Consider the following 26,942-nt stretch of genomic DNA (forward strand, 5'->3'; position numbering starts at 1 on the left):
AGTATTTTAATACATATTAGAGGATTAAGAAGCAGTTTGGTTTCTCTAAGCCCTTTTACAGAACTTCTTTAGAGGCCTGGGGAAGAGGGAGTGGAGGAGGGTTGGGATTAAACAGATAGACAAGCCATCATTTTACATTTTACTAAAGTGGTGCCAGGTTCTTAGCAGTAATGTGAAAGGACTACAACATAAGTGAAGAGGCCTGGGAACTGAATTTTAAAGCTTAGTAAAGTCCACACTAGTTACATACTTTAAGAGGATATGAGATATACATCTACAAAGCAATAAAATTTACTCTAGAAACAATAAGTTTCCTTTAATCCTAAACATTGCGATTGTTCATAATATGTTCCATGTTTTTAAATCTCTTGATCAAACTAGATGACTTTTTCAGAAATATTTCTATCCAATCTATAGCAGAAATGTGATAAGGCAGCTGATTCAGCACCTAGTAATAAAATAGAATTCATTCCCCAAACCCTGATTTAGAATAGATTTATATGTCCTTTGGCCATTGATAAATCTGGAGCTTTGCACAGCTTTGATTTAAAAGTTTCTCAGCAATGACCAAACTCAGAATCTATCCCTTCCCCCTTGCTGAAACACAAGAAAGAAACAGTCCTCGCTGTCACTGTAATTCAGAACTTCTTTAATGAAACCAGCTTTCCGCAGCTCCATATATCCATCTAAGCACAGCTAAGGGCAGCTCCCTGCCCTTGACTCTCCATGGAAAGGAATCGGGCTTTCTCTCTCTGTGAAACATAGGGATTGACCACCTCATATATTTTGAAAGTACATTTTCTAGTTTATCTTTCTATTGGTGATTCTGAAACCAGGGTAAGGTTGGTATTTGTTTTGGAGAAACGAAAAAGAACTTCACACTGCTCAAAGGAGAGTTATATTTTATTTTTATTTTTTTCAATTACTGAGATAACAGGAAACAAAAAAGAGAGTTCTAAAAGGGTGAAATTTGGAGTCTTAAAGAGTTCAAATACAGAAATAGAGACTATGTTCTCTGGAAAGCCTCCTAATCAGCAAAATTTCAGCCTAGAAACCATATATTCATGTCCTGTGATTTGGACTTCATCTGCCCTGGATCAAAATAGGTGACTGAGAATGTAAAAAGCAACCCTGAGAGCAGGAAGCTGGCCCTGTCCCATCAATTAGGTCTTGGCTTTGCGAGTACTCACGGATGGTACTCATGGCTAAGTTTTGTCCTCTTCTGTTGAACAAAAACAATTTCACAGAACATTGACACTAGACATAGACATCATTCTGTGACCAAGACGGATCAGGACAATAACAAGGCCACTCTACTGTAATCATGCCTGAACACCGACAAAACCAGAAACGTTCTCCAAACCACAAAAATGACCAAATCTCTCCCTAACCTGAAAGTGAAAGAATATCTCCCTAAGCTAAGTGACAACTTCTTTACCAATTACAGCTTTGACATCATTCTATTCTCTCTTTCTTGATAAGGTCACTAGGATACCTGTTATACACTGAATTCTGTCCCTTCCCCTCATCCTCAAGTTTATATATTGAAGTCCTAACCCTCAGGACTGCAGAATGTGACCTTGTTTCAAAATAGAGTCATTGCACCAGAAATAGTTAAGTTGAGATGGGTTCGTCTATAGGATGGGTCCCTAAATCGGTATGGCTGGTGTCCATAATTATAGGGAGGGTAAATTTGGACACAGACATATACGCACAGAAAGAACACCATGTGAAGGCTGGAGTTATGCTACACAAACCAAGGAACTACCAGAAGCCGGGAGAGAGGCTTAGGATGGATATTCTCCTACCACTTTCAGAGGCATGGCCCTGCCCACACCTTGATCTCGGGCTTCCAGCCTCCAGAACTCTAAGAGAATAAATCTCTGTTGTTGAAGCCACTCAGTTTGTAGTACTTTGTTACAGCAGCCCTGAGAAACTAATACATACCCAATCATGAGACCAACCTTGGGGAAAAATCTTACTTGTTTGAACTCTCCCCAGAATCACCTAACACAAGCCAAAATCATGTAAGTCCTCTCACACCCTCTACTGACATGCCCCACAGTTCCCCATACACAGCATGGTATGGTATTTCACTTCTCCTTTGTTATGAAAAGTCAATAAAACCACCCTTGTTTAGTTACCAGTGTGCTCCCGGTAGCCTTTGGCTAGAGGGCATTGACACAACTCAGATAACTTTTTTCCTCAATAATGTGTATAGTTTTTGCTGTTTCAACTGCTTGAGTTTTTCTTGGGGAACTCTTAACTTCATATCACAGATGTCTATTCTCTAATATCTTCTCTTCATTATGAAAAGGCTTTTATACATCATAACTGATTTTTATCCAATTTCAAGTCTGCTCTTTATTGCTTCAAATGTGGATTTTTAATTTGATTTCTGCATTTTGAAATTCATTTAAAATATTTCATAATCTTTCTACTTTCATTGTCTTAGTGCACTTTTGAAATCTGTTCAGTCTTTTGTCTTATAACTTGCTGGTCTTATTTTACATAGGAATATCATTTTGAATCCTCTCGAAAATTTCAAAGCATTTTTTTAACCTCTCAATTTTTCTTCTGGATTCTATAATCATTTTTATATATTTTTTTAGAGGGTTTTGTTTGTTTGCTTGCTTTTGGTGGGGGCGGGGGGGTTCCAATATCTGGAATCTCTTCTTTGGTTCGGTAATACATTTTCAAAATCTCCCATGCTTTTTGTTTATGTGTAGTATCACAGATTACTGTTAGAAAGTATTCACCTCTATGGAGAAATATACTCAACTAAGCCAGCCTAGATCAACCAATCCCTACCTGACTCAAACATTTATAAGAATAAATATTTATTGTTGTATGTCCCTAAGATCATGAGATAGGCCTTGGGGAAAAACCTATGCCTTGCTATGCATCGTCTGCTAATGGATACACTATGTTTTCTTATTTCTTTGCCTATTCATAGTCCCATGAGGGGTTACCTAACAGACCTGGAATTTGCCAGAGCGTGGATGATGTTTTTGGTTTTACTGTCTGACAATTGGATGCGGGTTAAATGTTCTCTTTAGGTCTATAACTGTTTAATAGGTTAGTATACTCAGCTCCTAGCCCAAATTCTAGCAGCTAACCAATTGCTTACATCTAGCTTTGTTCTGTGGAACCAATGGGATTGTATTTTACCTCTTCTACTATTTCTCTGACACTGAACACAAAGAGAATATGAAAAGTGATTCCTTACAGAGCTGGCACTTTCTGCTTAGAGTACTTTACTTAGGAGATTACATAGCCCAAGATTCAATGCATTCTCTACTAGTTCAATTGTCTTCTGGGAGTTGCAGTCACAGCAGGGAGGAAGAGATGCCTGAGTTTTTTTGTTTTCATTTTTCCTTCCAGTCCAGTCCTTGCATTTCTGGAGCAGGGGTAGACGGTTTGGGAGGTATTAAGGCTGTTCAGTTTCCTGTGTCACAGCACAGGCTGGGCATTTCAACCCAGGCCATTCCTGAGAGTTAAGAAACATTTCTCTTAGGGTCTAGAATATTACCAGTCTTGATTTTCAGTGCTGCAAGTTTTTATATATTTCTCTTTTCCTCAGAATTTTATTTTTTATTTATTTATTTTTTTTCAATAGGAGGTCTCAGATTGAAACCCTGAGTCCATGCACCATTGCTCCCATGCCTGCCACTTGTCAACCCTCCTGTGTAACTGGCTCTGTTGGATACTCTTTTCCCAAGAATTTTAATAAGAAGTAGGAAGAGGATGGGTCAGAGACTCCTCACGGGTTGCCATCTTAAATAATGGAATAAAAATGAATACAGCTATGTAACTAGAATATATGTGGCTTATAGGAAGGGAATAATTTTCCATTTCTTACCTAATTTATAGCAGAGTACTAGACACATAGTAATTGTTCAGTAAATCTTTTTGATGGATCAAATCAGTTTCATCTAAACCATAGACAATCCCTTATTATCCAAATGGCATTTTTTGGCAACCAAAAAATAAATTTTACACCCATTTCCAAGGTAAAACTATCATGCTATAAGATATCAAGTTACTTGATATTTATTCATTTGATGTAAATTAGAACCAAACTCATATGCTTTTTTTTCTTTTTTTTTTTTTTTTTTGTTTTGAGATGGAGTCTCGCTCTATCTCCCAGGCTGGAGTGCAGTGGTACAATCTCAGCTCACTGCAACCTCTGCCTCCTGGGTTCAAGCAATTCTCCTGTCTCAGCCTCCTGAGTAGCTGGGACTACAGGCACATGCCACCATGCCCGGGTAATTTTTGTATTTTTTAGTAGAGACAGGGTTTTGCCATGTTGCGCAGGCTGGTCTCTAACTCCTGGCCTCAGGTGATCTGCTGGCCTCGGCCTCCCAAAGTGCTGGGATTACAGGCGTGAGCCACCACACCCAGCCCCAAACTCATGCATTTATTATGAAGATTAAATAAGAGTATTGCTTACAGTAGTCAGTATAATGTCACTATAACAGTAAGTATGTCTTACAGTTAATAAACATGAGCTTTTATTATAAGCCTCTTAGAATGTAAGTTCCTTCAAGGCAGGACTTTGACAGTTTTCATCAACCCTATAGCCCTAATATCTTAGTGCTTGGTATGCGTTTATTGAAAAAAATAAATTAGGAATGAATGAGTAAATGAACAAATTAAGTCACACAGAGCCAAACTTTCTGCCATCCACTTTGGAAAATTGTCTACTGGTTCTTATTATTTGTGTTTGGAACTAATAAGTCTCAGTACAAGTTTACCATTTTGCGGCACCAATACAAGTAATGAAAACCTCAGAATGATTAATCTCAAAATGAGTATAATCAGTTTATAAGAGATTAGTAAGTTGAAGGAGATATTCTCTGTCTAAACTTGTTCATGATTTTAAAACTCGTGACAGGCACTAACAGCAGGTAATTCCATATAAATTAGTACTTGAGCCCCAACAAAGTTGCTTAGAGAAGTTTCTTTTAATTTTAATATAAGGACTCCCTGAAATATTCAGCATTTATGGCATTGCTGACATTAGTTCATTACAAAAGTGATTTTAGCTACTACTATGGAAAACATAGAGTGAGCGAGAAAATCAAATACCTTGGGAAAATCAGGCAAGTAAATATTTACAAACGACATTTACATTACATAAGACAAATGATTTAAGGGATTTTTTTTCTATTAAATGATCTTATTTATCTTATTTTATGGTGTTTATACGACTTCAGTGAAACTGCAATATAATTAATGAGCTTAAAATTATAATTACCTTTTAGCTTTTAAATCTTATGATCTTATAGTACTTCAGTCCTGGGGAAAACATGTTTTGCATCTCTTTTTAAGTAACTACAATTTAAAATGTTGTCTTCATTTTTGAAAAACAAGTAAGAGGGCAGGTGCGGTGGCTCACACCGGTAATCCCAGCACTTTGGGAGGCCGAGGCGGGCGGATCATTTGAGGTCAGGAGTTCGAGACCAGCCTGGCCAACATGGCAAAACCCTGTCTCTACCAAAAATATAAAAAATTAGCTGGGTGTGGTGGTGCACACCTGTAATCCCAGCTACTCAAGAGGTTGAGGCAGGAGAATTGCTTGAACCCAGGAGGCGGAGGTTGCAGTAAGCCCAGATCGCACCACTGCACTCCACCCGGGTGGCGGGGCAGCGGGGATCAGAGCGAGATTCTGTCTCAAAAAAGAAAGAAAAAAAAAAAAAAGGCAAGTAAGCATACTTAATGTCTGTTGTCATGCAGACATTTTTTGTCTCTGATAAAATGAGTCCAATCAAAGTGTTGTTTCAGAAATCTTGTGATTTTAAGGTTTCTAGAATTTTCCTTCGCTACAAGTCTAACGCTAATGCTTGAAGGTTAGAGAGAAGTCATAAAATAATAAAGCAACAGTATCATTATATAAACAAAAACAAAAATCTTCTTTCAAAAAGCCTTAAGCAGCTCCTTTTTTCTCCAGTGCCAGAAAATTCTGGCCCTTGAATCATTTGCAGTGGGCTCACCAGACTTTTCCAAGCCAACATTGCCATCTGCTGGTGAAGTTGCTATAATAGCTTATAAAATGAAGTGATGGATGGAGAGCGGAGGCTTTGTTTTAGCTTTTGTTTTAGTTTGACTACCTTGCATAAAAAGTTCATTGAATGTAACAATATTTTAGTAGCAGAATTTAACTAACCTAGTGAGATTTTAACTAAAGCAAAAGAGAAACTAAAATTCTTTAAGAACTAAAATTCTTATGAATTTTATTCAAATTGGCTTCCTGAAAGAATTTCACAATTTGCTGCAGAGACTAAGAGCACGGATATGCATGGCTGTGCTGTTTCCTACCTGTGTGACCTTCATAAGCTCTCTGTACCTTTGCTTTCTCATCCATAAAATAGACATACTCAGGACAGTGCTTGGCACACAATATGTGCTCAGTGAATATTAGTTGTTATTATTATTAATATTTCTTCCTAAGGTAGACATGAAAGAAAGCTTCTTGGTTATTTTGGAACACTTCTGATTTCTAAGATATTAATCTGTTTGTTTTCATAATCTTACAATAGCAAAACATAATGGAAAGTCTGAAATTTTACTAAAGTTTTAATTTTTACTTCTTGAAATTATTTAAGATCTTAAAATATGTTTAATTGAGGGTCATTTCAAGTTATAACCCTTTTTAAAGCAGTATTTCTATCTTGAATGTTCACATGTTTCTACAAATCCAATTTATTATGGTGCCAAGATTTGAAACATATGTCTATAAGCAAATAAAAAATGGATAATGCTTTTAAAAATGCAGCATTTAATTACTAAAAACAGCTTCTAGAATGTGAATATTATTATAGAAGACAAATGGCCGAGCCATTCCCGGATCACATAGTCCCTGAGCCGGAATTCACTGTGACGTTCCCACACTGTTTCTTGTCTCCCGTCAGCCTCTTGTTCCCCTTTCTTCACTTTACAATTTTTTTCTGTAGGATCATGCCCTTTCCGGTGTAAATTTGCCTATCTTTTCTCAGCTGCTGCCAAATCTTCTCTTTATCAATTACCCTAATCAATACCAAAAAGGCCCAAGAGTAAAGCAGGCCCCTTGAAGTCCTCAGAAGGTCATGAGGAGGAGGAAATTCTTCCATATTAATATCTGTGTCTCAGTCACATACATATGCTACAAATCACAATGAACACACAGTGCAATTCAATTAATAACCCCTATTCCCCAGTGCCAGAGATGTGAGGAAACTGTTACCAGATGTTTCTGTCTTAACTCTATTAGAATCCAATTTTCTAGTCATTGTCTCCTTTTCTGAATCCCAATCTTGTTAAATCTGAATGGTCACTTTTCTTACATGAGGGCTTTTAGACTAATTACAGAGAACTGCTGCAACACATCTAACACTAGTGTTTAACGATCACACGCCTTCAAGTCCTCCCAGCCTGCTCCTTGGTGCTCTCATCCCACTAAGGATGATCCTTAGCAAACCACATGGCCTTTCATCGCATTACTCAGGTTGAAGCCATCTTTAGCTTCTCTTTTTGTCTCACGTCTCAAAGTCAGTCCATAGACAACTCAACAGCTCTGCATTCAAAATACAGCCCTCGTCTGACCTTTTTCATCTCCACCATCGCTAATACCCTAGGCAAGCTGCCATCTTCTTTCCCAGGACTACTGAAATGTCTTCTAATTCACTTTTTATAAGTGTCAACCAGATCATGAGCCTTCTCTCTTCTAACTCCTCAATGTCTCCATCTCATATTTCAGATTCCATCCAAAGTCCTTAGAATGGCCTCCAGGCTGCACAGAAACCGGGCAGGAATGACCTTATTTCCTTGGACCTTCTTCTTCCACACTGTGCCCAGTCTCACAAGACTTCTAACTCTGCCTGAACATTCCCACTTTAGAGTATTCGCACTTGCTGTTTTACCCACCTGGAGCGCTCTTCCCAGATGTTGCAATGACTTGCTTCCTCATATCACTCAGAACCTCTGCTTAAATGTGACTTCTACATCCAGGGCTCCCCGAAACATGCTAACAAAGGCAGCCATCCCCTTCCTCACTCCATCCCATTACACTCCATCCCTGAACCAGCTGAGCCCTATGTTAATTTGGAGCACCAGTCACTCCATGATATTATGGATTTATTTGTTGGTGGTATGCCTCTGCCCTAAGATGTCTACTTCATCAAGGTGGGGTCTTTGCCAGTTCTTCACAACTATACTCCCAGTGCCTACCAGATAGGAGGAATTTTCTAAAATTTATTGAGTTTGTGTGAGAATTATTGAAAAAAATGAAACTTTAGGGGCTCTATTGACTTTTTCTCAGATTTTACATTTAATTATCTAAAGTAATAATTATCACTTATAGAATACGTGCTAAGTGATAAATACTAAGCATTTAACACACATTATCTGACTTAATCCTCATAGTAATGCCAAAAGAATTACTGAATTGAATGTGTTTTCTTCGATTGCCTGGTGACCCTGGTTATCCATTCATTTTCAAAAGTTAAGAAAATTCTTATTATAAACTACTGAGAAAGGAAAGGAAAAAGAAAGTGCTTCATCAATACAAATAAGTAGCATAGATTTTCTCAGACACTGTGTAGATACATTTCCAAAACAAGCCTTTTCCCTGGATTTAAACTGGCTTAAGCTAGTCCAACCATTAGAAACAGATCATTGCTGGGACACGTCAGTAGTCTCCAGTGACTAAAGGTAGTAGAGAGTGAGAGGTGTTCCCACACAACCTTACTATCAGGTATATGTTATGATGAAAGCAAGTTTCAGGTTGAATTATGGCTCAAACAAATAGCTTTTAGCAAGCTGGCCCAATAACAGCTATATAATCTGTTTTTACAAGCTCTGTGACTACCTTGCATAAAAACTTCATTGAATGTAACAATATTTTAGTAGGAAGATTTAACTAACCTAGTGTGATTTTAAAGTAGCATGATCAGGTTTTCTTTGGAGCCCTAGAACAAGAAATTTGAAAGGTATGGGAAGCTGCACTCATTGGATTCTGATATCCCAGCTCATGCAAGGGCAACCATTCTTGCATAATATTTTTTAGCAAATCACATAACTTGAACACCATTCATTTCAACAATTAAAAAATGAATTCTAACAGCTCTTATGCTGGTAAACAATCCTTATAGTGCAGATGGAAATCACCGAAGCCTGTAGGAGTAGCCTCTGCAGGGAGGCTGCCTGATTAGAGTGTTTCAAATGCTAACCACTTCTGGAGCATGTATTCTTGATTAGGGAAAACATGCTTCAGATGTCAAATAACCTATCCTAGGGCCTTCACACTTCATATATATATCACACTGTCCAAGTTTAAGTAAGAAAATATTTGCAAACTATTCATCTGACAAGAAATTAATAACTGGGCCGGGCAGGGTGGCTCACGCCTGTAATCCCAGCACTTTGGGAGGCCGAGGCAGGCGGATCACGAGGTCAGGAGATCGAGACCATCCTGGCTAACATGGTGAAACCCCGTCTCTACTAAAAATACAAAAAAATTAGCTGGGCGTGGTGGCGGGTGCCTGTAGTCCCAGCTACTCAGGAGGCTGAGGCGAGAGAATGGCGTGAACCCGGGAGGTGGAGCTTGCAGTAAGCGGAGATCGCACCACTGCACTCCAGCCTGGGCAACAAAGCAAGACTCCGTCAAAAAAAAAAAAAAAGAAATTAATAACTGGAATATATAAGGAATTCCAACAACTCAACAACTCAATAGCAAAATAATAATAATAATAATCTTATTAAAATGGGCAAAATACATGAATAGACATTTCTCAAAAGAAGTCATAGAAATGTCCAAGTATATAAAAAATGCTCAGTGTCACTAATCATCAGGAAAACTCAAATCAAAAGCACAGTGAGATATCATCTCATTCTAGTTAGAATGGCTATTATCAAAAAGACAAAAAATGACAAATGCTGGTGAGAATGTGGAGACAGGCGAACACTTGTACACTGTTGGTGGGGTTGTAAAGTAGTGCAGCTATTATGGGAAACAGTATGGAGGTTCCTCAAAGAACTAAAACTATACCTACCATATGATCCATCAATCCCACTGCTGAATATATATCCAAAAGAAAGGAAATCAGTATATCAAAGAGATATCTCACCGCACAGCCAGGTAGCCGCAGACACACATCTCCATGAACCGCTTGAAAGTTGTGGCCTCCATCTTGCCCCCCCATGATTATCACCATCTCATCCATCAGCTTGATGTCGGGTTCCTAGCCGAGATTGCTGCCCGGCGAGCTTCTCAGACCCGTGGACACTTGCATGTTTATTGCAGCCCTACTCACAATAGCCAAGATATGGAATCAACCCAAGTGTCCATCAACAGATGAATGGATAAAGACAGTGGAATATTATTCAGCCACGAAAAAGAACAAAATCCTGTCATTTGCAACAACATGAATAGAACTGGAGGTCATTATGTTAAGTGAAATAAGCCAGGCACAGAAAGACAAATATCGCATATCCTCATTAACATGTGGGAGCTAAATTCTGGATCTCATGGAGGTAGAGAGTAAAATGGTGGTTACCAGAAGCTGGGAAGGAAAGAGGGAGGGAGGGGGATAAAGAGAAGTTGATTAAGGGGTACCAAAATATATTTAGATAGAAGGAATAAGTCTGGTAATTGATAGTACAGTAGGGAAATTATAGTTAACAGTAATTTATTGTATATTTCGAAATAGCTAAAAATAAGAATTGTTATGTCCCCAACACAAAGAAAATACAAATAATTGAAGTGATAGCTATCCTGATTACCCTGATTTGATCATTACACATTGTATACATGTATCAAAACATCACATGTGCCCCCAAAATCTGTACAGCTATTATATACCAATAAATTTTTTAATGTAAATTATAAATCATAGAACAGAACAGTCTCAGTGAGAAGCCAGCTCCAGAGCTGTGTGAGAGGAGAAGCTGGGCAGACAGTCAGACAGACCCTATGATGCCTTTATGGGTAGTGAGCAGGCCATAACAAATCCTCACTGTTGCCAAGGAAAGACTTTCCTGAAGTGGAGGCCTTTGCTGCATTTCATTTTCAGGAGAAGCAAACTTGACTTTTATTCCCACCGGGCCCTGTGGTCAAGTTGGAAGTTACCTTGGGCTTTCATCTGCATCTGTTGGCCTCCATGTGGGAGCTCTCTAGAGCAGAAACCCACTTATCTTTGAGATCTGTTTTGGGGTTGTGGAACTATGTTTTAATTTTTATTTATTTTTGTTTTATTTTGTTTTTTATTTTTTTGAGACAGGTTTTCGCTCTGTTACCCAGGCTGAAATGCAGTGGCGGGATTATGGCTCACTGCAGGCTCAAACTCCCAGGCTCGAACAATTCTTCTGCCTCAGCCTCCCAAGCAGCTGGGAGCACAGGTGCATGCCACCACACCCAGCTAATTTTTTGTTTGTTTGTTTTGTAGAGGTGGAGTACCCCTACATTGCCCAGGCTGGTCTTGAACTCCAGGACTCAAGGGATCCTCCCCCTTTGGCCTCCCAAAGTGTTGGGATTACAGGTGTGAGCCACTGCACCCAGCCTGGGTTGTGGAAATAAACAAAGACCAACTAAATGAGAAAAGCAGAAGCTATTTATCCAGAGCTTGCTGTAGCAAGGAAGTCAGCCACCATCACCTATGTTTGGCAGAGACTACAAGGCAGGCAGAGGAGCAGAAAAGCTTCATAGTGAGGGGAAACACAAGGCTTCAGGTGTGCCCTGACTGCAGGCTGTTGGCAGGGGGAAGCTGAAAGTGTCTATTGAGAAGTGGGGCATCCCGTGTGATTGGCTGGGGGCATATAATTGGCTTTCTCAGGTTGGTCCTAAGTTGGAAGTGAGAACAAAAATTAGGGAGGCTGCCAGTTACTAACCAAGTCCTGGACATTTTGTGCCAGTTGTGGCAGAAGTTCTTGTTTAGCTTCCTGGACGGTTACCAGAGGTAGCAAACTGGCTTCCTGGGCTGTTTATTGTAGATAAGGGGGCTGGTTTCCTGGGCACATTGCTGCAGGTTGTGGGTCTGAATTATATTGTTAAATACAGTCTGGCAATTGTACATTAGTAAATTTAGTCTTTCAGGGTAGTGGGAGCGTGAGTTGGGGTAACCACCGAGTGCTGGGTTCTTTCATGACCTTGTGGCTACACCTAAAGCTGTCCACAGAGGCTGGGAACTGCGGGTATCCCTGGCGCACCATTAGGAAAAAAGCTCCAGTCTGTGTACATGTCCCTCTCTCAGCTATTTTGGTTTGTGGCTTCTCTTCACAGAACACTTCATCAATATATGCCCATATGATGTCTATTTCCCAGGAATTCTTTGAAATTTCTGTTTCATTGATGGCACCCTTCTCCAGTTACCATATTCCTATCTCTGGCTGTTATTTTTGTCAGGAGAGGTGCTAAATATTTTTGTTACTGGATAATCTGTAGTGCTTGTTATGTTAGACTAGAAGGAAGGAAAGCAACTTTTCCACCCCTACTGATATTTGTTAGAAAAAAGTAAGGCTCTCAGGAGGCTGAAGTAGGGGAATCACTTGAACCCGAGAGGTGGAGGTTGCAGTGAGCCGAGATCGCGCCACTCCACTCCAGCCTGGTGACAGAGTGAGACTCTGTCTAAAAAAATAATAATAATAAATAAGGCTTAGATTTCTGGGAGATATGTTTTTCTGCACTGTCCTCTAGCTCTAAATAAGCACAAAACTACTCTTAAACTTCTTCGTTTTCTAGGAATTTTGCTGAAGAAAGCTTCACCATTTTGTTTGGAAGATTAGGCACATCAAGGAATTAAGCTGTAGCTGCCATGGATATGGGCATGCGCTTGGAGGAAGGGATGATAATAGTTACAGAAATATGGTGTCATCTTGTATATTTTATGCAAACCAAGTCAACTGACATAAAAGTCTACATTTTAATTGGAGTAATGGGGCACCCAAAGTCATTGGACTATAACAATTTCTTATAAAATTATTATATATATTTCTTTTATAGGAAGGAAATTCATTTTGATAGTTTCAGTTTACTTGCTCCAATAACTTTTTCCTTCAAAAATGGTTACTGGATTGGGCATTCTTGTGACACTATAGACATTATGTCACTTTTGATAAGTTTTAATTTTGAGAAGCCACATTCTCCACTGGTGACCAATTTTGGCTAAGTTACATCTATTCTGTAAAATTAAAAGAAAGTTTTAAAAAATCCATCTAGGAAATTGTCCCTCAAAATTATGCTGCACTCCAATGAGATTTATCATAGGTTTTAGGAAAAGCTTCTGTGTTGGTGCCCATCAATATGGAATTCCTTACTATGGTCAACAGTCAATTTAAATTGTAAATGTGTCATTTGAGTTACATAGTTATAGTAGTTCTGCAGATAACACTGGTCATCTTGCATTGAAGAGACCAGGATGTTCTTTTGATATAGTAACATTTTCTTTTCTTTTTTTTTTTTGAAATGAAGTCTTGCTCTGTTGCCCAGGCTGGAGTGCAATGGCACAATCTTGGCTCACTGCAACCTCCACCTCCCAGGTTCAAGCAATTCTCCTGCCTCAGCCTCCCAAGTAGCTGGGATTACAGGTGCACACCACCCTGCCCAGCTAAGTTTTGTACTTTTAGTAGAGGCAGGGTTTCACCATGTTGGCCAGGCTGGTCTGGAACTCCTGACGTTGTGATCCACCGGCCTCGGCCTCCCAAAGTGCTGGGATTATAGGCGTGAGCCACCACGTCCAGCCACGTTTTCTTTTAAAAATAGTGCTGTTATATCTAACGTAAACAAAGAATTGATATTGACTTTTAGCTTTGGCTCATAGGTGGAACAGACTTTGTGTTGAGAAAAATCATAATAGTTCTAGTATTTTCTATGTAGACAAGTTGGCATTAATATCAATAGACTGCCATTTGGTGTCAATTAGATATCATAAACACAATTTGTTTTTCCTCAAAGACTTTCTTCTTGCCTTTGATGATTTCAAAGGCATTATGTACACTGAATTCTTTTGTTTATAACATTAATTTCACTTAAAATATCATGTCCCATTAATACTGACAAAATGAATTTGGTGACTTTTTTTTCAGAAGTATAATTTTTGCTTGTATTCTAGTGCCTATTAATACATTAATATTTTCTAAAAGCAATTGCATACTTCTACTTGAGATTTTGTATTAACTTTCCAATTGTGTTTTAAAGTTTTTAAATGTATCCCTGTTAAATGTTTTTACATATATTCCATCATTTCATTGTAGACTAAAATTAATACTTTTTAAAGATCTCCTACTGAAAACTGTTGTTTTTCTATTTGCATTTCTGGCATTGTTTTCAATGTATATATACACATAGTTGTCCCTCATTCTCCATGGGGGATTGGTTTCAGGACCTCCTGTGGATACCAAAATCCACCGAGCTCAAGTCCCTGATATAAATTTACATATAACCTGTGCATATCCTCCTGTGTGTTTTAAATCATCTCTTGATTACTTATAATACCTAATACAATGTAATACTACGTAAGCAGTTGTTTTTATACTGAATTGTTAGGAAATAACGACAAGAAGTCTGTACATATTCAGTACAGATGCAACTAAAAAAAAATTCTGATCCTAAGTTGACTGAATCCATGGATGTGGAACCCACAGATTCAGAGGGCTATTGACAGAGGGAGGGACAGAGAGAGAGAGAGATCACAGATCTGGTTGCTTACTCTTTGCATGCCTTCAAGGGAGTCTGGAACCAAGATTGGCCTTTGGCCAACCCCTGGGAATGTGGCCCTTAGAATGTTCTTTATGTTAGTGATTGATGATTTTGTTGTTTACACCTAGAGCAGTGGACCATGCTATACCAGCTTGTCAGGTTGCTTTGCACAAACATCAAGATAGATAAGGTGCCCCCATTCTCATTGCCAAGGTTCTGAGTCTCAGTTACAATGGCTGGTTTGATTGCAGGATATGCCTGTAGGGTCAGCACCCCATAAAAGCTTCCAACCCTGAGATCTGAATGGCTTTCCGGGGCATATATACTCCACACATGTCAATGAAGCTCATTAAGAGTGAAAAAGCACATTCTCTGTAGCTTCATATGAGAAAGGACTCAGAAGCCCTTTCTAGCCTATCTGTATTTCACCAGGACATATATTTTTCCTGCTGTTTTGCTCTGTATTCATTGCTGTGAGATATCTTCTCCATGAATATAACCTGCTATTGAGCCTGTAAGTCCTTCTAGTGAATCACCAAACTTGAAGCAATTATGAGAGTATCAAAGCATCATATTAGCAGCCCTATAATCTACTGGACAAAATTCCCCCAAATGTTCAAGTCTAGAAATGTTTGCATTTTGGGAATCTACAAATCCAGACATAATTATCTGAATTATATGGCTTACTTACATCAGGAGTTTTATCTAAAATGACTAAGTAATTAGCATTTCCTAACTCTCCAAAATTATTTTATTTATCCCATCTTCTATAACTTGAATCACTTGGTTTTGTATTTCATTAACATTCAGTTTCTGTATAAATGTTCATATAAAATTATGCTACGGTTTCTGCTAAGGGAGTAAAATTTCCCATATCACACTCAAAACATTTTTGGATGATCTTTTTGTGCTAGATGTTGTTTTGCTAAAATCTGAGTCATGTGTATACACACTGAGTTACAGCCAATATTTTTCCTTATATAGTCTCTGCAGCATTCATGTTTTTTTCAAATCAGATTTTAATTTCAAAGACACACGACTATTATTGAAGTCTTATGAAAACTAATTGCTCAATTAACTTTCTATTGCTGCATGACAAATTACCACAAGTTTAGTGACTTAAAACAATACCCACTTACCAGTTCACCGTTCTGTGTAGGTCAAAAGTCCAGGCACTTTGCAGCTGGGTTGTCTGCTCAGGTTCTCACAAGACTGAAATCAAGGATGGACCAGCTTCATCCTTACCTGGAGTTCAGGGTCCTCTTTCATCTCACTCAGGATATGGGCAGAACTCACTTCCTTGTAGTTTTAGGACTGTGGTCCCTGTTCTTTTGCTGGTTGTCAGCCAGGGCGATACTTAGCTCTGAGGGGCCATTCTGAGTCCCTTGTCATGTAGTACCCTTTGTCTTTAAAGGCAGCAATAGAGAATCTTCCTTGTGCTAGAGGCTTCTTACATTTAAAATCTCTGTCTCCAGGAAGAGCTCAGTCCCTTTTCAAGGGCACATCTGATTAGGTCAGGCCAACTGAATATAACCTCCCTTTCTTAAAGTCAACTACAGTAATCTAGCCATAGGAGTGACTATTCTATTATATTTACAGTTCAGTCTCATACTCAAAAGGAGGGAATTACACAGGTTGTGTACGTCAAGGGGCAGCAACCTTGGGGACCAGCTTAGCATTCTACCTTCTGAGGCAGGAGAAAAGGGTCTGGAGGCAGGGAACGTAAGGCTGATTTGCGCCGACTTCCTAGAGCTAAATCAAAAGGAAAACTCCAACTTTCCATGCCCAAGTAACAAAAGAGCCAAAGGCTACTCCCTTTGCAACCCCCATCTTTTCTGTGTGGCAGATAAAAAACTGAAAATACCTCTGACTGGTCCCCTCCTACAACCAATCAGCCTGGTCGCCGGGCCAGGTCTTCATTTGCATAGGAGTATAACTTTGTAACTTCACTTCAGTCTCTGATTGATTGGTCACTGTCCACAACCAAACAGACTGATCACAGGGCACTACTTCATTTACATAGGGTGTACACAAAGTAACCAATGGGAAACCTCTAAAGGGTATTTGAACCCCAGAAAATTCTATACCCACTAAATAACAAATTCCCATTTTCTCCTCCCAATATTTTTTCAATTTTAAATCAATTTAACTTGTTAATTTTTATAATTATAAAATTTCTTCCAGCACTTTGGGAGGCCAAGGCAGGAGGATCGCTTGAACCCAGGAGCTCAAGACCAGCCTGAGCAACATGGGGAAACCCTGTCTCTACCAAAAAAAAAAAAAAAAATTGGTGGGTGCAGTGGTGCATGCCTGCGGTCCCCAGCTATTCAGAAGGCTAAGGCAGGAGAATCACCTGAGCCCAGAGCAAGACCCTATCTTAAACAAAAACAAAAACAAAAACAAACAAACAAAAAACCAATAGCAAGAAAAACAATGGCTATAATGCAATTAGCCTATCATTATATTAAAATATTTAGTTTATGTCTATAATTCTCATTTTGTTGATTATTGTATTAGTCCATTTTCACACTGCTAATAAAGACACACCCGAGACTGGGTAATTTATACAGGAAAAGGGTTTAATGGACTCACAGTTCCACGTGGCCAGGGAGGCCTCACAATCCTGGGGGAAGGTGAAAGGCACATCTCACATGGTGGCAGACAAGAGAAGGGAGCTTGTGTAGGGAAACTCCCCTTTATAAAACTATCAGATCTCATGAGCCTTATTTGCTGTCATGAGAACAGCATGGGAAAGACCTGCCCTCATGATTCAATCACTTTCTCTTGGGTCCCTCCCACAACACATGGGAATTCAAGATGAGATTTGGGTAGGGACACAGACAAACCATATCAATTATCAAGAGTTATTATATCATAATTCACATCACTGATAATAGAAATACCTGTAGATTTAAATTGAGAACTCAGCAATAAAATTCTGGAATAGTAAACAAACAGCAGATTCTATGAATTGCATTATGAAATGTCAAATTTAACATATGCATTAATACTGATAAAATATTTTTTTACAACAGAGATGCATCAGCTTATCAATTGGAAAGGCAGCTCCTTATTTAGATGCACAGGTTATTTTAGTATTGTTTGGTCAACAAGGTCATTAGATGATCAAACTTGCTTCTCTGAAATCAGCACTGAAGTTCTGTTACTTATATAATACATGTGCATTCTCAAGTACACCTATCTTCTCCTTAGGCCCTTATTATCTCACTTTATTCTACTGCATTAGTCTCCTATGTGACTTCTCTCTGAGACTTCTTTGGGCTTCAGTCCACTCTTGATATCGTTGCCAAATTAATTTTCCTAACACCAAATTCTGATCTTGTCAACCACAACTGAAAAATACTGAATGAATTTTCATGGCTTAGAATAATGGTTCTCAAATGTTGCTAAAAGTTAGCATCAGCTGGAGAGCTTTCAAAATTCTGATGCACAAGCCACACTCCAGTCTAATTAAATGAGAACCTTGGGATGGAGTGAAGTGGGGGGCGGGAATGAGACCTAGGCATCAGTAGGTTTGTTTTTTTTTTTTTGAGACGGAGTCTCTCTTTGTGGCCCAGGCTGGAGTGCAGTGGCGTGATCTCGGCTCACTGCAACCTCCACCTCCCTGGTACCAGTTCAAGCAATTATCCCTACCTCAGCCTCTTGAGTAGCTGGGATTACAGGCATGCGCCACCAAGGCATCAGTAGTTTTTAATACAGTCATGCATTGCTTAACGACAGGAAGCGTTAAGAGAAATGTGTCATTAGGCGATTTCATCATTGTGCAAACATCATAGAATGTACTTAAACAATCCTAGATGGTCTACTAGATGTGTGTGGTAGTCTATTGCTCCACAGCTACAATTTGTACAGCATGTTACTGTAATGAATACTGCAGGCAATTGTAACATAAAGGTAAGTATTTGTGCATCTACACATATCTAAACATAGAAAAGACACAATAAAAATATGGTATAAAAGATTTTTTTTTTTTTTTTTTTTTGGAGACAGAGTCTCGCTCTGTCACCCAGGCTGGGGTGCAGTGGTGTGATCTCAGGTCACTGCAACCTCTGCCTTCTGAGCTAAAGAGATTCTCCTGCCTCAGTCTCCCAAGTAGTTGGGACTGCAGGTGCATGCCACTGTGCCCGCCACCACGTGCAGCTAATTTTTGTATTTTTAGTAGCACTTTGGGAGGCCAAGGTGGGCCAGTCACCTGAGGTCAGGAGTTTGAGACAAGTGTGGCCAACATGGCAAAACCCTGTCTCTACTAAAAATACAAAATTAGCTGGACATGGTGGTGAGTGTCTATAATCCCAGCTACTTGGAAGAATCCCTTGAACCTGGGAGGCAGAGGTTGCAGTGAGCCGAGATCGTGCCACTGCACTCCAGCCTGGGCTACAGAGTGAGACTCCCTCTCAAAAAAAAAAAAAAAAAAACCACAGAAAATTTTGCTGCTTCTTACTGAGAACCACTAGGCTAGACTAGTTAGAGATAACCTAATCAGATCAAAAACTTTAAAAATGTTTATTGATTATAATAATAATAAGGTGTGAACCAGGAATGAAAACTCCTTACTTCATCCTACATTGAGAAATGACAAACATTACATTGATGCCTTTACTTTTAGAAACTGCAACAAATTCAAATCTGATTCAGGCTTTCTAGCCTATTACAATTCCCTTGGCCCATGATCTATATGGAGTTGGAAGGGCTCATGTAGCACATGACCTATTATACAGCTTACTGGGGAAACAGGGTCCTATTTCTCAAGCTTCACCAGAGCAGAAACTTCATCTATCTTATTTAAAGATGTATTCTCAGAACCTTGAACAATGTTTCATATTGGATATTTAAAATTTACTTGATAACGAGGCCAGGCGCAATGGCTCATGCCCGTAATCCCAGCACTTTGGGAGGCTGAGGCAGGTGGATTACTTGAGGTCAGCAGTTCAAGACCAGCCTGGCCAATGTGGTGAAACCCCGTCTCTACTAAAAATACAAAAATTAGCCAGGTGTGGTGGCGCACACCTGTAATCCCAGATACTCAGGACGCTGAGGCAGGAGGATCACTTGAACCCTGGAGGTGGAAGTTGCAGTGAGCAGAGATCGTGCCATTGCACTCCAGCCTGGGAAACAGAGCAAGACTTTTCCTCAAAAAAAATTATTTGATAAAGATATGCAATTCTCCAATTAATGATTTGAGATCCATACAATCCTATATAATCACCTCCCCTCCTTTCCTCCTAAATTATAAAAGTCATCCATCTTTCAAACACTAGGTGGCGCTGGTCAGCCCACAGGCACTAAAGGCTCTTTTAAAACTGCCACATGGTGTCCCTGTTGAGCACCAATCCTGCATTCATTCATTCATTCAAGACAGTCTTGCTCTGTCACCCAGGCTGAAGTGCAGTGGAGTGAACATAGCTCACTGACTGCAGACTCAAACTCCTGGGCTTAAGTGATTCTCTCACTTCAGCCTCCTGAGTAGCTGGGACTATAGTTGCACACCACCATGCCTCGCTAATTCTTTTTTGTAGAGACGGGGGTCTCACTATGTTGTCCAGGCTTGTCTTGAACTCCTGGCCTCAAAAGATCCTCCTGCCTTGGCCTCAGCTTCCCAGAGTGCTAAGATTACAAGTGTGAGCCACTATGCCCAGCCTATCTTGCATTTAATCACAGGACTTTTATCTCCCAATGCAATGATGCCTAGTGATGGCTAAAGCTCAGTCTCTCGCAGGTCACAGTCACATACCAACTCTAGACTCTGTATTAGTTTTTCGGGGCTGCCATAACAAATTACCACAAACTGCATGGCTTAGAACAACAGAAATTTATTGTCTCATCGTTTTGGAGGTCAGGAGTCAGAAATCAAGGTGTTAGCAGGGCCTGCATGCTCTAGGGAAGGATCTGTTACAGGCCTGGTAGCTCCCTGGCTTATGACTGCATAATTACAGTATTCACATGGCAGTCTTCCTGTGTGCATATCTCATTCCGCATTTCTCTTTTTATAAGAATACCAGTCAGATTGGGTTAGAGGTCCCCGCTACTCCAGTATGACTTCAACTAATGACATCTGCAACTGCTCTATTCTAAATAAGGTCACATTCTGTGGTACTGCGGTTAGGATTTAAACATGTGAATTCTGGGGAAGGGTGCTATGGTTTAAATATGTGCCCCAAAGTTTATGTGTTGGTAGCTTAATTTTCATTATGACAGTATTAAGACATGGGACCTTTAAGAAGTGATTAGGTTATGAGGGCCCTGTTCTCATGATATGGTGAGGCTTCGTGTCACCACCCAAATCTCATCTTGAATTATAATCCCCATAATCCCCACATGTCAAGGGAGAGACCAGGTAGAGGTAATTGAATCATAGGGGTGGTTTCCCCCATGCTGTTCTCGTGATAGTGAGTTCGTTCTCCCCAGATCTGATGGTTTTATCAGGGGCTCTTCCCCACTCACTCAGCACTTCTCCTTCCTGCCACCTCATGAAAAGGTGCCTTACTTCCCCTTCACTTCCTGCCATGACTGTAAGTTTCCTGAGGCCTCCCCAAACCATGCTGAACTGTAAGTCAATTAACCCTCTTTCCTTTATAAATTACCCAGTCTGGGGCAGTTCCTTATAGCAGCGTGAGAACGGACTAATATACCTCATGATGCAGTAATGCTGCTATCACAGGAGTGAGTTAGTTAATTGCTGCAGTTAGATGTTTGGGCTGTTTTGATGGGCAGGAGGGAGCTCCTGATAAAATGATTTCTGCTCAGTTTCCCCTCTGTCTCTCCTGTGCTCGCTTCTGCCTTCCACCCCTCCACCATGGGGTGACCCTTGCCAAATGCCAGTGCCATGCTGTGGACTTCCCAGCTTCCAGGACTGTGAGCTGAATAAACTTTCTTTACAATTTGCTCAGTCTGTGGTATTCTGTTCCAGCAGCAGAAAACAGACTAAGACAAAGGGACACAATTCAACCCATTACAGGCTCCAACATAAAACCCCCAGCTCAGCCACTGTCCCTCAACGTATCCTGAAGTCCAGAGGGGCTGCCAATGCTTAACCACAAATCTCCAGGTCCTACATGTGAGCCAGGTCATAATTTCCCCTCAAGATTTCTTCCCATGTGGGGGCCATGTGTACAAAGGCCTTGTGTCCACCCTGAGAGATAACTTAAAGTCTCAAATAGAAAAAGCTGCAGAATTTTTCCCCTCTTTTCAGAAAGCCCCTGGTTTTCTTTGGCACATTTCTCCCCTTTAAAACATGCTCCAAAACAAGAAGAGAGGCATAGAGAAGTGCCAGAATCCACCTATCAAAACAGCCCAAACATCTAACTGCAGCAATTTGCTCACTGTTAGGCAAGTGATTCAGACCAATCAAAACCAGACTTTTGTTTCAATTTTGGAGAAGAGAAGTTATCTCCTTTCTCTGGACCTACAGCCAAGAACATCTGAGCCTGAATCTCATCACACATGGAGATACTTTGCTTAAGAGTGAAGCCCAAGCTGGGCACAGTGGCTCACGCCTGTAATCCCAGCACTTTGGGAGGCCGAGGCAGGTGGATCACCTGAGGTCAGGAGTTCGAGACCAGCCTGGCCAAAATGTTGAAACCCCGTCTCTACTAAAAATACAAAAATTAGCCTGGCGTGGTGGTGTACGCCTGTAATCCCAGCTATTCGGGAGGCTGAGGCACGAGAATTGCTTGAACCTGGGAGGAGGAGGCTTCAGTGAACCAAGATTGCACCACTGCACTGCACTGCACTCCAGCCGGAGTGACAGAGCAAGACTCTGTCTCAAAAAAAAAAAAAAAAAAAAAAAAAAAAAAAAAGAATGAAGCCCACACTGCCAGAAGCAGAGCTGAGTGTTAGAGAGAGACTGACTTTAGAACATTCTTTAAGCCTCTGATGCAAAGCCATCTGATGGCTTATTACATGAGCAAAAATTCTCTTTTTATTTTCTTTTTTGTCCCATTCAGGCCAGTTTGAATTAGATTTCTTTTTCTTTCTTTTTTTTTTTTTAGAACAGGATTTTCTTTTTTAACTTAAGTAACTGCAAGTAGGAAGCTAGAGGCAGAGCCCCAAGCTGAGACAAATAATAACTACCCATTCCCCAACCAAACAGGGGGAGAAGGTGGCCCCTCCACCCTTTAGGGTCAATTTGAGTGCCCCTCCTCACTCTGCTGCAGCATCCTAGAGACAGGGCCCTATCTTCCCTGGGACTGGGATAGTCAGTAACCCAGCCAGCCTGCCAAGCTGCAGACCCCCTGTCTCATGGAGGCTATCTTGAGGGAGGGGAATGTGTGCAGAGCAGGAGGCAGAGGGTGAACATTTGGTGCTGGGAGCAGCAGCAATGATAGATGTTGAAGAATGGAACATTGTACAAGAGACAACACAACTGTCCAGTGATAGTTTGTGAACAGAGGAAATGATGGAACCAGAACCCTGTGGGGTAGGGAAGAGCGGGAGGGTTGGGAGCCTGCAGGGCAAGCTCCTTGTTATTAGTGTCCTGTCTGAGGAGGGGGAAATAGACCGAGTGGTGGGAACAGGTAGGGTTGGGTGAGCAACCCCAGGCGGCCTCAGGTGGCTGCCCAGGGAACCTGGGCCTCACCTGAACAACCCGTGACTCTACATCTCCATCACTGCAATGTGTACTCAGAGCCCAGGCTGAGGGCAAGGGAGCTGGGGCCCCTGTGAAAATGGGGTAGGGGTCTCAAACCCTGCCTGCCTTCCTGTACTACAAAGGGAGCTGTCCAACCTGGTGCAGGAACTAGGAAAGGTGGGGGAAGATGAAAGATGGATGTGTGAGCCCCACGTGGTGACAAAGACACAGGTTGGCTGGGGGCATTCTGGGAGCACCCCCCTCCAATGGCCACAGGTGCTGCCTCCAGGACAATAGAGTGGGACATGCCAGAATGAGATGGGGCTTGGGCCTCTTTTATGGCCGGGGAGCCCTCTGGGAAGTCAGAGGAAACAGTGGAGGAGCCGAGAAGGAGCCCCCAAAGCAGAAACCCAGAAAGCAAAGTCCCCACCAACAAGGGAGTGGGGCCGCAGCAGGTGCAGCAGCGTGAAGTGGGCTGTTACCCTCGTCCAGGAGGGCAAGTGTGTGCGTGGCTGGGAACTGAAGCCAGAGGAACACTGCTGTCACTGGGCCAACAGGGGCCCTGCCGCGGTGGTGAGGACGCAGGTGGGCGGTGCAGGTGACGGTGGCCTGGGGGAAGGACAGGGGCAATGGGGGTGAGCAAAACTGTCCGGTCCCAGAAGGAAGTGGCTCCTCCCGGGAGGACTCCCGAGAGATGCTCCCTCTTCCTCCTTCCCAGTGTTTTGGGCCGGCCCTTTGCTTTCCCTCCTGGAGCTGTGGTGGTTTTCCGGGTCGTGGCAGCATCCTGGGGTTTGCTTCCTTTCGGTTGCCCAGGGTCTTAGGTGTTAGCACGTGCTGGGCTCCTTCGGACGTGGAGCTGCCCCCACCTCGCTTCTCAGCGCCGTCCTTTTCCTTCTTGGAGGCCAAGGGCTGGCTGGACCTCCAGCTCGACTGGCTCTTCTTCCCTTCTGCACGGAGCAGGTGGGAGAGAAGAGCGGTGGCTGCGCTGCGCGCTGTGGGATGCCGAGGGCGACGGTGCCGGCGCTAAGGACCCGCCTGGCCGCGCCGCGCAGCAAATGCAGTCGCCTGCGAGGAGCCCCAAAGAGAGGAGCGCCTGAGTCCGATTTCTAGAGATTCAGAAGAATGACCACGGATACCTGTAACCGGGAGCGCGCCTCTCACCTTAAACCTTCGCTATTTTGACTCCTATGTTAGCATCTCCCCAAGGGGTGATAAAATTCAGTGTTGGGATGACCTTTCTGTGGTCACACAAAAAACCGGCTTTGTGCCTCCGAGCCAGGCCTGGCCGTGTAGCCATCACAGCTGCAATGAAGAGGACTTGGACAATATCCAGCAGTTGAGACTCTGTGGCCCTGTGGACAGTAGAGTACTAGGAAAGGCGCAAGCGCCTTCAGATCTGGAAATGCTTATGGGCATGCCACCAGCGGAATTTAAGCAGAATTTTCCCTGGAAGTATTCACCAAGCTGTCCCTATAGGGTAAAGAGGAAATAAGCTAAAGGTTGTGGTACAGGAGGAGATAAAATAGATAATTAATTTATATTTTTGCACTAAAATTGTAATTGAGAAATAAAAGTGAAATGCCAAAATCACATAGATTAACTATCACAGTATTAAACTGAGACAAGATCTCAGGTTATTTTGCTGTTGTTGTTATTTATATGCTATGTTGTCCAGGCTGGTCTCAAACTTGAGGCCTCAAGTGATCCTCCGGCCCCAGCCTCTCAAAGTACTGAGATTACAGGCATGAGCCACATGTGCCCGACCTCAGAAACTTTTTGTATAGAATTACAGCACTGCATATATTCTGACATCATAATACAAAACAAAACAAAACACAGATCTCAGGAGACATGAGAGAAAAATAAAGATAAATAAAAGAGACTGGAAGCCGGGCACAGCGGATCGGATCATACTTGTAATCCCAGCACTTTGGGGGGCTGAGGCAGGCGGATCACCTGAGGTCAGGAGTTCGAGACCAGCCTGACCAGCATGGAGAAACCCTGTCTCTACTAAAAATACAAAAAATTAGCCGGGCATGGCAGCCCATGCCTGTAATCCCAGCTACTTGGGAGGCTGAGACAGGAGAATCGCTTGAACCCAGAAGGCAGAGGTTGCGGTGAGCCTAGATTGCACCACTGCCCTTCAGCCTGGGCAACAAGAAGGAAATTCCATCTCAAAAAATAAAATAAAATAAAATAAAAAATAAAACAAAAACAGAAACAAAAACAAAAAAGAGACTGGGGTATAAAACCTGAAAGTTACCATGATAAAAAAGGAAATGTCATGAGCTGTGGAATCAGAATTGAGTTGAAATCCTAACTCTATAATCTTAAGTTATTTAATTTTTGTAAGACTCACTTTCTTCATCTGCAATATGAGGTTAATGATACCTACCTTCTACTTAGGTTGTGAAAATTAAATGAGAGATGAATATAAATAAAATGTTTAGTATAGTAGAAGATCAATTATAATTAGATTTTTTTATAAAGAAACGATGGTCATATTCAAAGATGATACACTGATCATTTTAGGTGCACGTTGAGAGTATGAAATTGCTAAGACCTAAAAATATGAAAGGCTTACAAGTTTAAAATAAATGAGATAAAGTAATATAACTACAGTCTTAAAGGAAAATGAATTAATGTAACATGAAATAGTACTGCTTAGAGTTCCATTGTACAAGACCACCCTTAAAGCAAATAGCTGAAGATTTTTAACACATAAGTAACCCTTTTTTTTTGTATGACTGACATACCAGGAGTCAGCTATCTATTATCTAGCCAATAATCTCCAAAAGTACTTGGTACCAGAGCTCTAGCCAAGGAGTATTCTGTAATAGATGGCGACATAACCCACCAGAGCCCTTCCTTTGAGGCGCCTGAATGAGAGACATTTAGAAATGTCACAGTGACACAGAAGTTAAGCACACAAAGAATTGCTGTAAGCAGAGACCAAGAGGCACAGAATCTGTGAATAAACAAGACTCACGGGTAGTGGAGGAGGCAGAGGCGGTCACTAACCACAGGAGCAGTGGAAGTGGCTGAGGAGTGAGGGCTGAAGCAAAACGCTGGGGAAGGAAGCAGCTGACACTGGCTGCCACAGGGACGTCTCCTGGGGTTGCATCTGGCTCCAGAGAGGCTGGCAGACCTCTAGAGCTCTGTTGTGTGCTCCATGATGACTTCTTTCTCTGGGAAACCTGGCTGTGCAGCTGCTCATAGGCCTCCCATCTCCCTCGCTTCTCAATGCATCCTTACAGCAGACTCTGTGAACTGAGCCTGAATATGCCTCTGCCTCTGGCAAATTGGAAGTGTATAATTAACGCACTATCCTAAGAGCACCACTGGCTTGAATAATGCAGAGAAGCTCCCTCCTATCACCCTACAAACAGGCTGAACTGCCTCACCTAAACAGCAACTCAAGAAAACCATACCTACCCTCACATTTTCTCTACTGCCCTTACCAGCATCTCTTTATTTGTATAACACTTTATGGTTTCAAACACTTTCATGCTATTGTTATCTCATTTGATTCCCATGATGATTTTTTTTTTTGAGGCAGCTGAGTAAGGAACAGATTCCTCTTCTATGGTTGACATAGATTTGATGATGTATACAAAGTCAAGGGGCCAGTTTGAGATTTCTAAGCTCAGGAAGTTGTGTATTACAGCAAATCCTCAAAGCCAG

The 26,942-nt window shown here is 41.3% G+C and overlaps 1 long non-coding RNA gene and 1 pseudogene across 2 annotated transcripts in view, besides 1 other annotated feature; one reads left to right on the forward strand and one right to left on the reverse strand.

Annotated features, from left to right (window-relative positions):
• Positions 1-26,942, forward strand: part of LOC124901404 (uncharacterized) — a 39,387-nt gene that overhangs the window by 9,250 nt on the left and 3,195 nt on the right. The gene's annotated exons all lie outside the window — the stretch shown is intronic.
• Positions 2,086-2,155: a silencer, noted in NCBI's record as "silent region_17556". NCBI's record gives its function as "represses an Ori minimal core promoter by ATAC-STARR-seq in GM12878 lymphoblastoid cells {active_cell/tissue: GM12878}" and the evidence as "EXISTENCE:reporter gene assay evidence [ECO:0000049][PMID:35858748]".
• On the reverse strand, positions 22,666-26,384 carry HMGA1P7 (high mobility group AT-hook 1 pseudogene 7; annotated as a pseudogene). The gene is made up of 2 exons (NR_037938.1): positions 26,248-26,384; positions 22,666-24,728 (listed from the first exon to the last, which is right to left on the reverse strand). The product of NR_037938.1 is annotated as a high mobility group AT-hook 1 pseudogene 7 (transcript).

The sequence above is a fragment of the Homo sapiens genome, chromosome 6 (genome assembly GCF_000001405.40).
Source record: "Homo sapiens chromosome 6, GRCh38.p14 Primary Assembly".
Lineage (NCBI taxonomy): Eukaryota > Metazoa > Chordata > Mammalia > Primates > Hominidae > Homo > Homo sapiens.